This window comes from Homo sapiens, chromosome X (genome assembly GCF_000001405.40).
Source record: "Homo sapiens chromosome X, GRCh38.p14 Primary Assembly".
In the NCBI taxonomy this organism is placed as follows: domain Eukaryota; kingdom Metazoa; phylum Chordata; class Mammalia; order Primates; family Hominidae; genus Homo; species Homo sapiens.
Window position 1 is genome coordinate 153,806,274 of NC_000023.11, and position 15,929 is coordinate 153,822,202.

Here is a 15,929-nt window from a genome sequence, read left to right on the forward strand (position 1 = left end):
CAGAGGCTGTGGAGTAGTCACCTCTCCCCGCCCCTGCCCTGCACTCCTAGGCTCTTCTGCACGGAAGCCTGTGCTTTTGGTCAGCCCCGGGCATTGGTGGGAAGTAGGACATTGTCCATCTGGAAGGGTGGCTTTAGTGGGATGCTACTAGTAGGGAGGGGAGCGAGGGGCCATCCCCCTCCTGGGGATACACAAGACATCTGCCCAAGATGGGTTCGGGAGAAGGCTAGACAGCAACCCTGTTGCTAGTTCTCAGGCCCATCTGCTGTCCCACCCAGGCACAGGCCTCTTTCTGCAGATGACTACCTCACTGGACAGTGGCTGAAGCCGTCGACCATCATCGCCTCACCACGCAGCACCCTAGCTGTGATGCCCTGTTTCTGGTAGCTGGGACCTTAAGGGCAGCCTCTGAGCCACAGGCAGGCCATGTGGATGGGCCTCGGGGCTGGGGCATACCCGTCTGCATACCTCTCCGACATAAATGCCCAGGTCCTCCTCGTCGTCCGTGCGGTAGCAAACCATCAGGCCCAGCTTGTCCCGGTGGCTGCTTTTATACAGCTCCACCTCCTGCCACGAGGGGTCCGGGAGGAAGCAGAGGTAGAAAGCCCCAGAAATGCGTGAGTGAGGGAGCAGGCAGCACAGCCCAGCCCCTCAGCCCGCAACCCCTCAGCCCGCAGCCCCTCAGCTTCCTCTGGAGCCCCCTGAGCTCAGTTTCCAGGCCCCGCTTTGAGGGTCTCTCTTACCATCCCACGTGGCGCACGTACTCAGTGGTCTCCCTCCCAGGAAATGCACGAGGCACACACAGGCACAGGACACAGAAGACAGACGTGCATGGGACGTGGACTCACCGACATGGACGGAACACGTAACCTCACCCGCACCCTCCCTGACTCAGCCAGATGCGTGCCAGGAGGGCCACGGGGTTGGGCCTGGGCAGGAAGGCACACAGGCGTCGGGGCGGCTCCCGCAGCTGGCTGCGGGCCCTGGCCTGGCCACCCGGCTCACCTCATACTCCAGCTCATCCAAGCGGTCTGCCTCCTGCGGGCCGCCCTCCATAAACTCCGCCGGGTCATAATACTCATGGCTGATTGGGGGGCTGCCCAGGAGAAGGTGGGGGTCAGACCAGCTGGCCATCCTCTCACACCTCAGCCCCAGCTCCCAGGCAGGCCGATCCCAGCGTGCCTGGCACGGAGGCCTGCTCTGCTTGTGCTCTCAAGGGTGGGTGGCCCAGTTGCCTCCTGCAGAGCCCCTTCCTGGGCAACATGCAGCCATGCAAAGACCGGGGGCACTTCTCGCACCTGAGTGTGCAGCGTCCACGCAGAGGACCTGCGCATGCCTCTAGCGTTCCCGTCCCCCAGACCAGAACTCCTCCAACCACGCCAGCTGGCAGGGACCAACTTCTCCAATCTCCGGGTGCCCACCCGCCCGCCCAGCACTGGCCCCACTCATGCAACGCCCCCAGGAGTTATCCAGGCCCTGGAGGACTTCTGCAGAGCAGAGGGGGGCCCACCCTACCTCCAGGGGCTGCCCTCCTGGCCCCAAAACTAAGGTTGGCTGCTCATGGCCCTGTGGCCTACCTCCCCGCAGCCCGGGCTAAGATTAGCAGAATGAGGCAGCGCTCACGCGGTCATGAGCCACCAGGCCTGGATGAAAGGCCCTTCTTCCGGTCGGGCCAAAGAAAGAAGCTGAAGAGATGGAGGAAATTCAGAGCAGGTAGAGGAATGAGACAGACAAGGGATGCAAGAAGATTCAAGGAGTGATGCTTGTGAGGCGGCAGAGGAGAGAGGATGGAGGAGGAGGAGCTGAGGCCCTCAACCCTGGCACTTCCGGCAGCGACGTCCCGGACAGGAGGGTCCTCCCTCGGCCCTGGGGGTAGATACAACGGGGCGCCTGCTGGAGCCCGGCCCAAGGCTAGAGGCCTGGAGGTTTTGGAGCCCTTGGGTACCACGGTCAGTTCTGGAGGCCGAGGGGCCTGCTTCCTGCCCGAGAGGGTGGCGTGCGGATGGCCGCTCCAGGTGGCCTGTCCTCTCTGGAGGCAGGGCCCGGGGCCCTCCTGAGGGCGACTCACAGCTCAGAGAGGACGTACGGCTCCAGGATGACCATGGGCGGGGTGGGCGGACGCAGCTTGCCCAGCGCCATGATATGCTCGAAGGTGATGTCGGTCTGAGTGCCACTGTCCACCAGCTGCAGGTCGTGACAGGAGCTGTCCCCCCGGAGGCGGGGGCTGCGTCTCAGCACCTGGATCACCAGGGGCTCCTTGGAGGAGCGCAGGGCCTGCAGAGTTTGCTCCTGAGACAGCTTGGAGAGCTCCTTCCCGTTCACCTGCGGCAGAGACACGCCTCCGTAAGAACCCTCAAAGGCTTGCTCCTCCCCTCTGAGGTCAAGGCAGAGGCCCTAGCTGGCAGGACCTGGGCTGACAACCAGCACCCCAAGCCACTCAAGCAAGGAATCTGCTGTCTGCAGCCCTGGCTACCTTTGGTGCCCCTGTTCCCAGGCAAGCCCCACTGCTCAGCCTTCATCCCACTGAAGGCCAGCTGGGGATCACCAAGTCACACCAAGGACTGGGGGACCCAGCCTCTGTGCACTGGGTCTGGAGGCTGTGATACCGCCCTACAACGTCCTCCAGACACTGCTTGAGCTCTCCTGGCCTCTCCCCATCCGGACCCACTTCTTTCTAGGGCGGCACTGAGGCCAGAGCTAGCATGAAGATCCCATTGAGTTCCTTGGCAATGACTGGACCATAACAGCCAACACTCAGTGAGCATCTGTGTTGTGCTCATTCAGCATCAAGCAAGAGGATGACCTTGACTCTTCAGATGAGCCGAGTCTCTCAACAAATGTCTACTCACTAGGGAGGGCCAGGGTCAGGTTGGGGGACAAGTAGGAAGATGCCTAAAGATACAGTGTTGTGTCCTCACAGTGACAACTGACTTGCCCAAGAGAAAAGGCCTTGATGTACAAGAAGCCCCCTGGAACTGCAAAGTAGCCTAAAAGAGGTGCCAAGAAAGTGGTCCTTATAAAGCCACCACTAGGCCGGGTGCGGTGGCTCACGCCTGTAATCCCAGCACTTTGGGAGGCCTAGGCGGGCAGATCACGAGGTCAGGAGATCGAGACCATCCTGGCTAAACACAGTGAAACCCCATCTCTACTAAAAATACAAAAAATTAGCCGGGCGTGGTGGTGGGCGCCTGTAGTCCCAGCTCCTCGGGAGGCTGAGGCAGGAAAATGGCATGAACCCAGGAGGCGGAGCTTGCAGTGAGCCGAGATCGCACCACTGTACTCCAGCTTGGGCGACAGAGCGAGACTCCGTCTCAAAGAAAAAAAAATGCCACTACTGTTTTTTGGGCACGTGCCATGTGCTACATTCTGGGAAAGACCCCTGATGTGGGTCTCCACAAAATCCTAACCCCCAACAACCTTGAGGGAGATGCCATTATTGCAGATGAGGAAACCATGTCAGCAAGCTCAGCAAGGTTGTGGCACTGAGTCAAGGTCATGAGCCAGGACAGGCTGCCCGGTGGCCAGAAGGAGGGGTCAGGGAGGAGGAGGCCATCGCGGGCCAGGGCCCAAGGCGGAAGTAGGACCTAAGCAGCTCTGCGGGATGCTGTAGGGGTGAAGGAAGGACAATGAAGGGTAGCAGAAGGAAGCCCATTACGCACAGCGCAGGTGGTGGGGCAAGCAGTGCCCACAAGGTCGAAGGCTGCTTCCGCAGCACCCTGGGACAGTATGCTGCGACCTTCAAGTCCTCCTTGGGGAAGGGAGGCAAGTAGAGAAGGGACGAATGACTAAGGACCAAGAAGGACTGAACAGACTCCACCAGAATTCAGGGCACGTGCCATGGGGCCAGCAAGGGTCAGCAGGAAGCACTTCTAGGAGGAGGCAGCTCGAGGCAGGCGTGCAGGGTCTCCTCATGGGCTCAGCGGCTTATGGAAGGGCTGTTCTGGGCCTGGGGAGGCTACACACTAGCATTATGCCCAAATGGCTATGCCCCGCAGGTGAGCGTGGGGACAGACCTTACCCACAGCTAAGGGAGCACACGGCTGGCCATGCACGCCTCGGTGGGAGGCGGGGAAGGCTTCTGGAGCAGGGGACACCTGGCCTCCATCAGGCAAAGGGAACAGGGCCAAGAAAAGACCCAGGGAGGCTGGTTTGCAGTTGGAAGCAAAGCCCCCAGTCAGCACAGAGAGGGCAGGGCGAGGAGACCCAGAGTCCGCCTAGGGATGGAGCAGGCTGGGAGCTTGTGCCAGATGAGAGGGCAGAAGGGCCCTGGGCATGGGCGCAGGTGGCTGCGCCTGCACGGAGCCCTCTGCTTTTCCGAGTTGTGCGAATATTAGCAAGTTTAGAAGAACTCTCTGTCCTGCATTCTCACGGCGGCACCTCCCACCCCGGGTTTCTCACAGAGATGTCAATTCTGACGGCAAAATCTTGTCTTAGTGCCCGCGATACAGTAGAACCACCGCTGTACGAGTCTTTTCGGGAAGACAGCTATCTGAGGAGAGCCCAGCTTGTCCTCGGAACCCCTGTGGCCTCAGCAGCGGCTCCTGCATTACTTTTTTTCTATTTGACTATGTCCTTGTAGATAATCATTGAAGTTTTCTATGTCTCCCTTCTCCCCAAAATTTTCATATTCTGAAAAGAGCTTTTTGTCAAAATCAGTTTTGTCCGATTATAAAAGAAACACAGTTCATTTTTTTGTTTTTTGGGGGCTTTTTTTTGTTGAGATGGAGTCTTGCTCTGTTGCCCAGGCTGGGGTGCAGTGGCACGATCTTGGCTCACTGCAACCTCCACCTCCTGGGCTCAAGCAATTCTCCTGCCTCAGCCTCCCAAGTAGCTGGGACTACAGGTGTGTGCCACCACACCCAGCTGTTGTTTTTTTTTTTTTAGACAGAGTCTTGCTCTGTCATCCAGGCTGAAGTGCAGTGGCATAATCTTGGCTCACTGCAACCTCTGCCTCCTGGGTTCAAGTGATTCTCCTGCCTCAGCCTCCCCAATAGCTAGGATTACAGGCACCCACCACCACGCCTGGATAATTTTTGTATTTTTAGTAGAGATGGGGTTTCACTATGTTGGCCAGGATGGTCTCAAACTCCTGACCTCAAGTAATCCTCCTGCCTCAGCCTCCCAAAGTGCTGGGATTATAGGCATGAGCCACCGCACCTGGCCATGCGGCCTGTTTCCTTCCAGTCTGTTTTCTATGTGTGCCATTTTGCAGCTGCAGGCCCCTTAAGGTCCATCCACACCAACACACCAGTGGACCATCATGTTCATCATCACATCAGTAAGGGTGGCTTTGATTTTTTATTATAAAGAATGTGGCAAAGACACATTCTGGGGTCCATTTTATACATTTTTCATACTTAAATCTTTGTGTAACCAGTGGTTGTCAAGGTGGAGAAAATTTCTTGAGGTGGAATTTCTGGATCAAATACTATAAAGGAAACAGCTTTCAGCCAAGAAGGTATTTGTTGGAAGACCGTAAGAATGTCAGTCAGGACAGGGCATGCTGTGCTTGGTGGAGAGGCTACAGTTAGAAAGGCAGGATGGAAGAGGGTGGGCGGCAGCAGAGTGTGGGTTCAGGAAGGCTGTAGACAAAGGGACATGATGGAATGGCCTCGACACTCTCAGCAGCAGTGGCTAGAGCCAACTGAAGCTGGGAAATTTGGAAGCCAGTTGTCAAACACAGCGATTATTGGTATTTTAACCGTAGAAATGTACAGGTAACTGAATGATATTAACAACAAAGGCAATAAATCCTCGGAACACATCACTGTCTAATTATCTTACTACACTTTTCTGTCATCTGTGCTTTTGGGGTTATTCACATCTGGTATGGGAGATGGAAATACTATGTGTGCATTCCCCCAACTCCAAGTTCAGTGACATCGCAGTGGTGGCTTGAAATCGGCTATAGTGGCAGCATTTACACCAGGGAAATCGGCAAATGCTCCAAATCAGGGCTTTTTGTCTGGGAACATTTACCACCTTACCACTGCCCTTGAGGAGAAGCCAACACACAAGCAGAAGGGCTCGGAGCTGTCCTCAGGGTTTCTTCCTGAACTCCCGGGGCAGGACAGCAAGCAGGCAGTGGGATGCTCAGGTGACAGAGATGACAGAGAACGCACGAATGCCTTTCTACCCGGAATCATTACCGAGCAGCAGTGTTGCTATGGAAACTGAGGAGCGCTTGCTGGGCGGGCTGGCGGAGGCTGGGATGTCAAGAGGGGGATGGGCGTGGGCACAGCCTCAGCACCTCGGATCAGCAGCAACCAGAGTGATCGCCTGTGACAGCCAGGCAGGTATTTGGGTGGAAGCCACGGGCTCCTGAAGCCTTCTCGCTCTCTCTCTCTCTCCTCCTCATCGGTCATGCTGGACCCCCAAGGAAGAAATGAGCTCCCCTCTGGGGAAGGGCTAAGGGCTACCAACAAGGTGGGAAAATATGGGGCCATGAGCAAAGAGGTATAGGGCCAGGCACATGGTAAGGAGCCACACTGTGGCCCTTCTGATGACAGCAGCTCTTCCAGTCCTGCTCAGAGCCTTGCCTCCCCGCCCCACCCCCAACCATCCTGAGGTAGCACACTGGTAAAGCCACCCCTGTAATGCCCCAACCCTCGGATTGCCTACTCGACCACTCCAGTCTCTAAAAGGCACAAACACTCAACATGGCCAACCCCAGGCTTGCTTCCCACCAGACTCTCCCTCCTGCCCCACCTGCAAACGTTTCCACACCCTGGGAGCTCGCCCCACCAAGACAGAAGACCTAGTCCAAGCCCTGGCCAAGCAATTCCAATTGGATCAAAGACCTACAGGGACAAAGCAAAACAAGAGAACAATATCTTTATGGTGTGGGATAGAGACGAAATTCTCAATATTTCAAATGGGGAAGCAATAATGGAAGAGATGTAAAACTTCTAGACGACAAAAGACACCCTAAACACAGTAAAAAGGCGGGCTCAGAGGAGAGCCTTACAATGCATGGACCTCATAATGGGTTTTCCAGAATATGCAAAGAATTCCTACAAAACAACAAGAAAACACAGACACAAACAACTCAAGAAGAACATGGGCAAAGGATATCAACAGGTGCTCAGGGCAAAGGGGACCCACTAGCAAGCACTTGGAGCCATGAGATGAGAGGAGATGCCCTTCAGAACCACCACCAGGAGGACCAGGAGGATGTGGGCATGAAGGCCACAGTGGCCAAACACCAGGGACAGCCCAAAGGTCTGCCAGCAGTCGAACAAACAATTCCTGGTATTCCGCATGTGCAGTTAATGGAGGCGCACATAATGGAGGCTCATTCGTAGTATGTACTTGGTGGAAAACACGGCAGAGAGGCGAGCAGATGAAGTGCGTAGGGGATGGGTGGGCACAGGCGGCTTCAATCTGCTTTTAATACCTTCTTCAAGGAAAAACGCTCAGGCCAACAGGACCCACATCAAGGCTGGGTGGCAGTGCTGGTGCTAAGTGATGCGAGATGATGCCCCATACTTCTCCAGATGCTACAGCAAGTCCAGGAGGCCTCAAGATACCCAGGCTGGAGCTCAGCCTTTTATGTGTGATTGTCTAATTACCTCCCTTTCATTAGACAACAAACCCCAAGAGGGCTTCACCCTGAGTTCTACTTCCATCCCAACTCCTAACAGTTTGCTGAAGATAAAACTTTAATATGTTTCTTGGCTGAATTAAAATTTTATATATTTCTGTAATTTGTTGAATATATATTAAGGACCTGTAATTTATCTGATCTACCTTTTAAAAAATAATAATAATAAGAGATGGGGTTTCACCATGTTGCCCAGGCTAGTCTCGAACTCCTGGGCTCAAGCCATCTGCTTAGTCCCCCCAAAAGTGTTGAGATTACAGGCATGACCCAGCCCCTGAGTCTGATGTACCCGGACTCTACTAAAAATACAAAAATTGCCCAGCACGGAGGCTCACGCCTGTAATCCCAGCACTTTGGGAGGCCAAGGCAGGCAGATCACCTGAGGTCAGGAGTTCGAGACCAGCCTGGCCAACACAGTGAAACCCCGTCTCAACTAAAAATACAAAACTTAGCCGGGCATGGTGGTGCACGCCTGTAATCTCAGCTACTTGAGAGGCTGAGGCAGGAGAATCACTTGAACCTGGGAGGTGGAGGCTGCAGTGAGCTGAGATTGCACCACTGCACTCCAGCCTGGGCAACAGAGTCAGACTCCATCCACCCCCCACCCCCCCCCCAAAAAAAAGTCTCCTTCATCAAGTGCAAACTTCTCTCCTTTGGAACAATCCAGAAGAAATCCACTTTGCTTCTCTAGTATGGGGAGAGTGGGGATTGTTGACTGAGCTCATTATCGGAAAACTCTCACTATTGAATGTTTCCTTCATTGAGAGCAACCTCCCTCCTTTGGAACAATCCAGAAGAAACCCACTTTATCTTGCAACACTTCACGTACCTGAAGCCCACTCAAATGCCCCTTGTCCCCCCTCGCCCAGGTTCCCAGCGACTCTCATCTTCTCCAGTGCTCCCGTGCCATCCTGACCACGTGCTGGGCATCATGCTTCACCTTAGCGAGGTCACCCCGTGGCAGTCAACCCTGTTGACTGGGTAGTGAGCTGTGAGCCAAGCAAACCCTCAAAGCCTGTTCACAAAGACCCCTCCTCCATCACGTGCTAGCACAATAGATTTTGTACAAATTTTCGCATTTCCTTTCAAATAATCGAAGTGCTCAGAGCGCCACACTGAGGAGGCGGAGGAGCACAAAGATGAAAATACAAGTCCCTGGCACTCCGCTGCCCCGGGGAGTGCAGCAGCCTGTGAGCACACCACGGCTCAGCCAGGGGCTTGACGTGCCCCATGGCGACTCTTCAGCACACAGATCTACTTCCTTCCTGATTTGCTGCCAAGATGGGCCCAAGAGGGCTGACTCTAGGACTGCAGCTCCAATCTCAACCACAGTTGACATGAACGTCCTTAATTTCCACCATGGTCCCTGCTCTGAACAGGGGACTCAAGCCTTAGCAGGGCCCCTCTGCCTGAATGTGGCCCAAGTGGCCCTCACATCCTGCTTGGGACAGCCCAGTTCCCCTTTGCACACTGAGAGCACTCACTGCCCCAGGTCCCCTGCAAGCCCAGTTCCTCCTCCCAGCCGACCCCATCACCCTTTCTAGACACACTTAGTCTGAATCTTACCCCAGAGTGTAAAGTGGTCAAATTTCTGGAGAAGAATTTGTCAATAACTATAAAAACCCTTGAAAACGTTCATGGTAGCCTTTGATCCAGTCAATGTGCTCTAAGTAATTTAGTCTAAAACAGTAATAATAATAATGGATATTACATGAATTTAATTACAAGGACGTTTACAATTTAATTACAAGGCTGTGGGCTCCAGGTCGGGGAGGGGACCTGGCGGCCTGGAAGGGGACCTGGGGAAGGAGGAATGAAGCACAGGCCCCACCCCTCCAGAGGAGGTGGCCCCAGGCCTTCCCCAGGGAACCCTGGGAAGCTGGTTCTTTCTGGAAGGCTGCAGAAGGGCCTGGCCATGGGTCCTGGAGGCCACTTAGGCTAGGCGGGCCTCAGGCCAGGAGGACTGAGCCATGCGCCCTCCCCACAGCGCAGCCCCTCTGCACACACCCCGCAGCTGGTCCCTCTAAGACTTGCGGAAAGGGCTCTGAGTGGCCGAGCTGTGGCCCCTGATCTCCCAACCCAGCATCTGAGCAGAAGAGGACAGGAGCTGGGGCACTGATCGCCCCAGGCCCGGTCGGCAGGGTGGGGGCCAGGGCCGGCAGGATCCCGGGTTGCGCTGCCTTCCGAGGGAGCCGGTGCCCACCCAGCGGCCTGCAGCCCAAGGCAGGGTGCCCTGAGAAAGCCACCGCCACCCCCAGCCCCTCGGTGTGAGCAAGACCCCCAGCTGGTGGGTCCCCACCCACCAGTGGGGCTCCCAGGCCTGTCGGGGGCTCGGTGGTGGGCCTGGATGCTAGGGGGGCAACGTGCGGCAGGGACCAAGCTCTCCCGCCCACAGATGAGTGGGAGGGGGTCGTGGTGGGCATGGGAAGACCTTTCCAACAATCAGGTGTGTTGGGGGGTGAGCAAGGCAGGGGAGGGGCCCTGGCAGGTGGGGTGCCAGGGACCCCAGGGCTGGGGCTAGGCCTGTGGGTGGGGCGTGTGCTGGGGATTCTGTGGGCCGAGGACATGTGACTCCCGGGCAGGCTGGAGATGCTGGGGGGTGGGCCCGGGAAGCACGGGAGATGAGGGAAGAGGGGGGAATCCTGCCCCACCTGCCCTGGACAGGGTGCCCCATAGGAAAGGAGTGCCAAGGAGCTGAAGGGAGAGACGGTGGATCCAGAACACACCCCCCATCCCGTTCCGCTCCCCAAGGGGCTTGGTTGGAAGGTGGGAGGGGACAGAGACAAAGCTGCCTGGGTGGGTAGAGTGGTCAGGACAGCCTCTCTGGGTCGGTGACACTTGAGCTGAGACCTAAATGATGACAAGAAACCAGCCATGCTTCCTTCCTTGTAGCGAAGGGAGCTCCCAGGAGAACAGACTGTAAGGGCCAGACCAGCAGGCAACGGCAGTGGTCCAGACCACAGATGATGGTGGCATGACCCCAGGGGTGGCAGTAGAGGTGGTGGGATGTGGTCAGAGTCAGCTTGGGTTTTAGAGGTAGGCTGCCAGGACCTGCTGTTGGGCTGGGGGCAAGGGACAGTGAGGGCTTGAAGAAGACATCGAATAAGCGCAGGAAAAGACGCGTCAGCACCGGCCAGTACGCACAGAGGAAACACACACCCAAACCACAGTGAGATACCGCCGCACACCACGAGGAGGCTGGAATCAGTGAAAGGAAGCACGAGTATTGGAGAGGACGCGGGGACCCTGGAGCCTCACGCCTTGCTGCTGGGCATGTAAAATAGTGCAGCCAGGGAAGCAGTCTGGTGGCTCCTCACAAGGTTAGGTGTAGCTTATGTACATGACCCAGCAATCCCCAAAGAACTGAGAACAGGCGTGCAAAGAAAACTTACACTCAAATGCTCACAGCAGAGTATCCATAGTTGAGAACAGGCATGCAAAGAAAACTTATACTCAAATGCTCACAGCAGAGTATCCATAGTAACCAAGACTCGGAGGCAACCCGTGTCCACCAGTGGATGAATGGATGAGCGAGCACAACATGGTACACCCATCCCGACATAAAAAGAATGAACGACCGGCACACACGACTGCATGAGCACAGTCTAGCCAAGGCAAAGAGGCAGACAGAAAGCAGACGAATGGTTGCCAGGACCTGGAGGAAGGGGGGCCTGGGGAGTCACTGCTGAGGGATATGAGGTCCCTTTTGGGGCGATGAACCTGTTCTGGAACTAGACAGTGGCCACGGCTGCACAACATTGAGAATAGACTAAAAGTCACTAGTGGTAAATGTTATGTTATGCGTATCTTACCACAAGAAAACATAAAATTGCCACACAGGACCACAAGGACCAGGGGTATCCTCACAGCAGTGAGGAAGACCGAGGAAGGAAGGACTCAGGGATTAGGCCCAGGGCAGGAAATGGAAGGTTTTTATCTCTAGCTTGAACTTCCCGAGGCATGTGGACATCTCCAGTGCCCCACTCCAAATGTCTGGCCCAAGCCCAAGTCAGCTAACTGGGTGGCATGTGACCATTGCTGTTCAATTAAACTAGGAATTTTTCTTTATTTAAAATCATAAGATGACGGCCAGGCACGGTGGCTCAAGCCTGTAGTCCCAGCACTTTGGGAGGCCGAGACAGACGGATCACTTGAGGTCAGGAGTTCGAGACCAGCTTGGCCAACATGGCGAAACCCTATCTCTACGAAAAATACAAAAATTAGCAGGGCGTGGTGGCAGGCACCTGTAATCCCAACTACTTGGGAGGCTGAGGCAGGAGAACCACTGGAACCCAGGAGGTGGAGGTTGCAGTGAGCCCAGATCACACCACTGTACTCCAGCCTGGGCAACAGAGCAAGACTCCGTCTCAAACAAAAAAAGAATCATGAGATGAAGCTGGGCGTGGTGTCTCGCTCCTGTAGCCCCAAGTGGTGGAGGAGGTAGGGGGCAGGCGGTAGGGCTGAGGCAAGAGGATCACCTGAGCATTGGGAGGTCAAGGCTGCAGTGAGCCGTGATTGTGCCACTCCACTCCAGCCTGAGCAACGGACTGAGACCCTGTCTCAAAAATAATAAAAATTTAAAAATAAATAAATAAAAATTTAAAAAGCAAAAGCATGAGATGGAGGAGCTCACCTAGGGAGTGAATGTAGTCAAGAACAGGAGAGGCCCAAGGAGAGTCCTGGGGCACCCTGACACTGAGCCGGTTGGGGAGAGAGACTAGAAAGTCCCGGGAGGGAAGCCGAGGAGCTGCTCAATGCACTGGGTCGGAGCCCGGGAGGGGAGGGCGAAGGTGGGGCCTCTGGATTTGCTAAAAGGTGGGAGGGGGCCGGGTGGGGAAGCTCGACCTGCATCGACACAGCCTTCCGGAGCTTTTTGCAGAGAAGGAGCAGGTTGGGTTTTCAGGAACATCAGAGGGGCGGCTGAATACCGATGGAAGAGCAATTCGCAAGGCCAGGGAAAGTGCTGGCACCGCTTTCCCCGCATGAGGGGGACATGCGGGCAAGGGAGGGGGGACACAGGGACAGGGGAGGGGGCAACACCGGGCAGGCGAGGCAGGCATGACGCGAAGTCGGCCCCACGGGCAGTCGCTGTGGGGCGGCGATCTCCCGCTGGGCAAGGGACTGGCGGGCCTTAGGGGACGCGGGAAGCGGGGCGCCCTAGGCGGAGAGGGCGGAGCCCCAGGCGCGCTCGCCCCGCCCCCTGAGCCCGGAGCCGCAGACAAAGAGCGCGCCGCGACGGCGGCGGGGTGGCTGCGGCTGCGGGAGCAGGGCGGACCACACTCGTCCCGGCGCCGCCACGCTGGTGGCTGTATTGGCAGGACTCCTGCCCGCCCGCCCCGCCAACCCCGTCGGAGGCTGAGCTCTGTTTCCAGGCTCTGCCCCAGGCACCCTCCTGCACCCAGCGGTGGCAGGCGCACAGCCGGGTGGGGCGCGACGCCCTCTTGCTGATCAGGAATCTCTGGGAAGCCGAGAAGAGAGGCCGGAGAGGCTAAGAAAACAGTTGTGGCCTGGGAGACTCGCAATCCCAAGTGCTTGTCACACGGCGCCTGCGACCCCTTTCACTCTCACTGGCAACGCGCGGGATGGGAGGTGAAGCCACATCACTTCCAGGGGCCCCCGTGGCTGCCACGGAGGTGGGGGGGCTGCCACCTTCGGACTCCCCTTACCCCACTGCTGTAGAGTAGGAAACAAGCTGGGGAAGGACAGAGACAGGAAGTTATCCTCTGCCCGGGGCCGAGCTCTGACCTGCCTGCTGGCTCTCAGCTCTGCCGTCTGGAGTATCCAGGACACCTTGGAAGCAGTTGTGACTGTAGCTTCCAGGCCAAGTCAGGCATCGGGGGATCTCCCAACGAGTAGAGCATCAGAGGAGAAAGGAGAAGCCGCAGGCTCACTACATTCACCCACTCAGTGACCCAGCAAAGTCCCCATTCATGTTTCCCCAGCTCGGGATTTTGAAAATTGTCCGCCCACAAGCATGTGGGAACATCTGCAGATTCCCCACACCTGCTCTCGGGGTTTCTACACACACATGTGCAGAAGCATTTGAAAGCAAGATGCCATCAGTCCCATTCTCCGTGGAACCACAACACCCTTAGCACGGAATTCCGCACTCATACAATGGGCCAGCCTCACATCTCCCCAGCTGTCCCGCTAACACCCTTATAGCTTTTTTTAAAAATCTAGGATTTGAGGCTGGGCACAATGGCTCATGCCTGTAATCCCAGCACTTTGGGAGGCTGAGGCGGGCAGATCACAAGGTCAGGAGTTCGAGACCAGCATGGCCAATATGGTGAAACCCCGTCTCTACTAAAAATACAAAAATTAGCCGGGCGTGGTGGCTTGCACCTGTAGTTCCAGCTACTAGGGAGGCTGAGGCAGGAGAATCACTTGAACCCGGGTGGCGGAGGAGGTTGCAGTGAGCCGAGATCGTGCCACTGCACTCCAGCCTGGGCGACAGAGCAAGACTCCATCTCAAAAAAAAAAAAAAAAAAAAAAAAAGCGAGGCGTGGTGGTGCAGCCTATGGTCCCAGCTACTTGGGAGGCTGAGGCAGGAGAATTGATTGAACCCAGGAAGCAGAGGTTGAAGTGAGCTGAGATCACACCATCACACTCCAGCCTGGGTGACACAGAGAGACTCCATCTCAAAAACAAAACAAACAAACAAAAAATCTAGGATTCAATCAAGAAGCACACATATTACATTCGGTTGTTAGGTCTCTAGTTATTATGTCTCCTCTCTAATCTAGAAAAAAATATATATATTTTTTACTTTAATGGGAATGACTTCTTGGAAGAGACCAGTCCTTATAGAATGCGCCAGAGTCTGAATTTGCCTGATTCATTCCCGCGGTGAGATTCAGGCTGAGCGTTTTGACAAGAGCACCTTGCAGGAGATGCTGTATGTCTCCTCCCCAGCCCTGCATCTGGCGGCTGGCAGGGTCAGGCTGCCCCACTGTTGGGGAGGCTGTTTGATCACATGGTCCAGGTGGCAGCTGCCAGATCTCTCCTCTGTAAAGACGCAGTTTCCCTTCCTGATTCACAGGTAATTTGGGGTAATATTTGGAGACTTTGTGAATATTCTGTCCCCAACGACCTTACATCTAATGGTTTTGGCATCCAGTGATGATTTTTGCCTGAATTAATTACTGCATTGGTGGCTGCAAAATGTCTCCACCAACATGTTAGAATTCTAGCAGGGACAAAGAGGTGACAGGCCCGGCAAGTAGCATGGCTGCCCACGCCCCCAACTGTGGCCTCCTGGGCAAGCCACACCACCCGCTTCCATAACTCTGTGCCCACCCTTTCTGCCTGGGGGCAGGAGAGACAGAAACATGGGAGGGCTTCATCTCAAAGGCCTTTGAGCAGTTAGTCGGGGGAGGGGTGTCTGGGCGTCCATGAGAGACATGTATACCGGTAGGGGTGCCGGTGACAGGGAAGGGGGTCAGTTAGCTGCACATGGCAGGGAAGAACAAGTTATGTCCTGTAAAGCCCTCACGTAGGCAACGACTCCTGGATGTTCTGATTTACCCTCTATGTGTGTTTTTTTACCCTCTATTTGTAAACAATTTTTACCCTCTATTTGTAAAAAAAAAAAACAAAACAAACAAACAAAAAAAACAACACCTCACTTCACCACCCATGTTAATGTGGTTTGGGGCTACCATAGATCTACTCCCGGTCCCTACCCAAGGCCCTGGCTACTCACAGCCAGTGGGATCCACATCACCTGGGAGCTTGTGAGAAGTGCAGAATCCCAGGCCCCATGCTAGTGGCTCAGTCAGAAAGTGCACCTTAACAAGGACTTCGGGTGGAGGGTGGCGCTGTACTGACTCAGAGCGCGCCCTGGAGGAACCAGGGCAGACCTCAACGAAGGCCTTCTGCATGAGGGCATCTTTCTTTCCCCTCACTTCTCCTTCCCTCCCCGAAGCCCAGGGTCTGCTGAAGTCTCATCAATCCACCTGGCCCCCACCTTTCCGGGAGAGCGGCGGCCTCTCAGACACCTCCATAGTCCTGGCTCAGAAGCAGAAAGGAGGCCGGGCGCGGTGGCTCACGCCTGTAATCCCAGCATTTTGGGAGGCCGAGGCAGGCGGATCACTAGAGGTCAGGAGTTTGAGACCAGACTGGCCAACATGATGAAACCCTGTCTTTACTAAAAATACAAAAATTAGCCAGGCGTGGTGGCAGGTGCCTGTAATCCCAGCTACTCGGGAGGCTGAGGCAGAATTGCTTGAACCCAGGAGGCGGAGGCTGCAATGAGCCGAGATCACAACACTGCACTCTAGCCTGGGTGACAGAGCAAGACTCTGTCTCAAAAAAAAAAAAAAAA

The 15,929-nt window shown here is 55.6% G+C and overlaps 1 protein-coding gene across 6 annotated transcripts in view, besides 1 other annotated feature; it reads right to left on the bottom strand.

Annotated features, from left to right (window-relative positions):
* PDZD4 (PDZ domain containing 4) overlaps nt 1–15,929 on the bottom strand; it is a 28,379-nt gene that overhangs the window by 4,108 nt on the left and 8,342 nt on the right. For 2 of the 6 annotated variants that reach the window (NM_032512.5, NM_001303516.2), the window contains exons 2-4: nt 2,087–2,322; nt 1,006–1,096; nt 469–567 (exon numbers count right to left, since the gene is read on the bottom strand). In NM_032512.5, coding sequence (NP_115901.2) covers nt 469–567; nt 1,006–1,096; nt 2,087–2,322 — 426 coding nt within the window. Of the gene's footprint in view, nt 1–468; nt 568–1,005; nt 1,097–1,623; nt 1,867–2,068; nt 2,323–15,929 lie in introns of all 6 variants that reach the window. The other 4 variants (NM_001303512.2, NM_001303515.2, NM_001303513.3 and 1 more) reach the window with 3 other exon arrangements.
* Nucleotides 12,772–12,931: a silencer, noted in NCBI's record as "silent region_21072". NCBI's record gives its function as "represses an Ori minimal core promoter by ATAC-STARR-seq in GM12878 lymphoblastoid cells {active_cell/tissue: GM12878}" and the evidence as "EXISTENCE:reporter gene assay evidence [ECO:0000049][PMID:35858748]".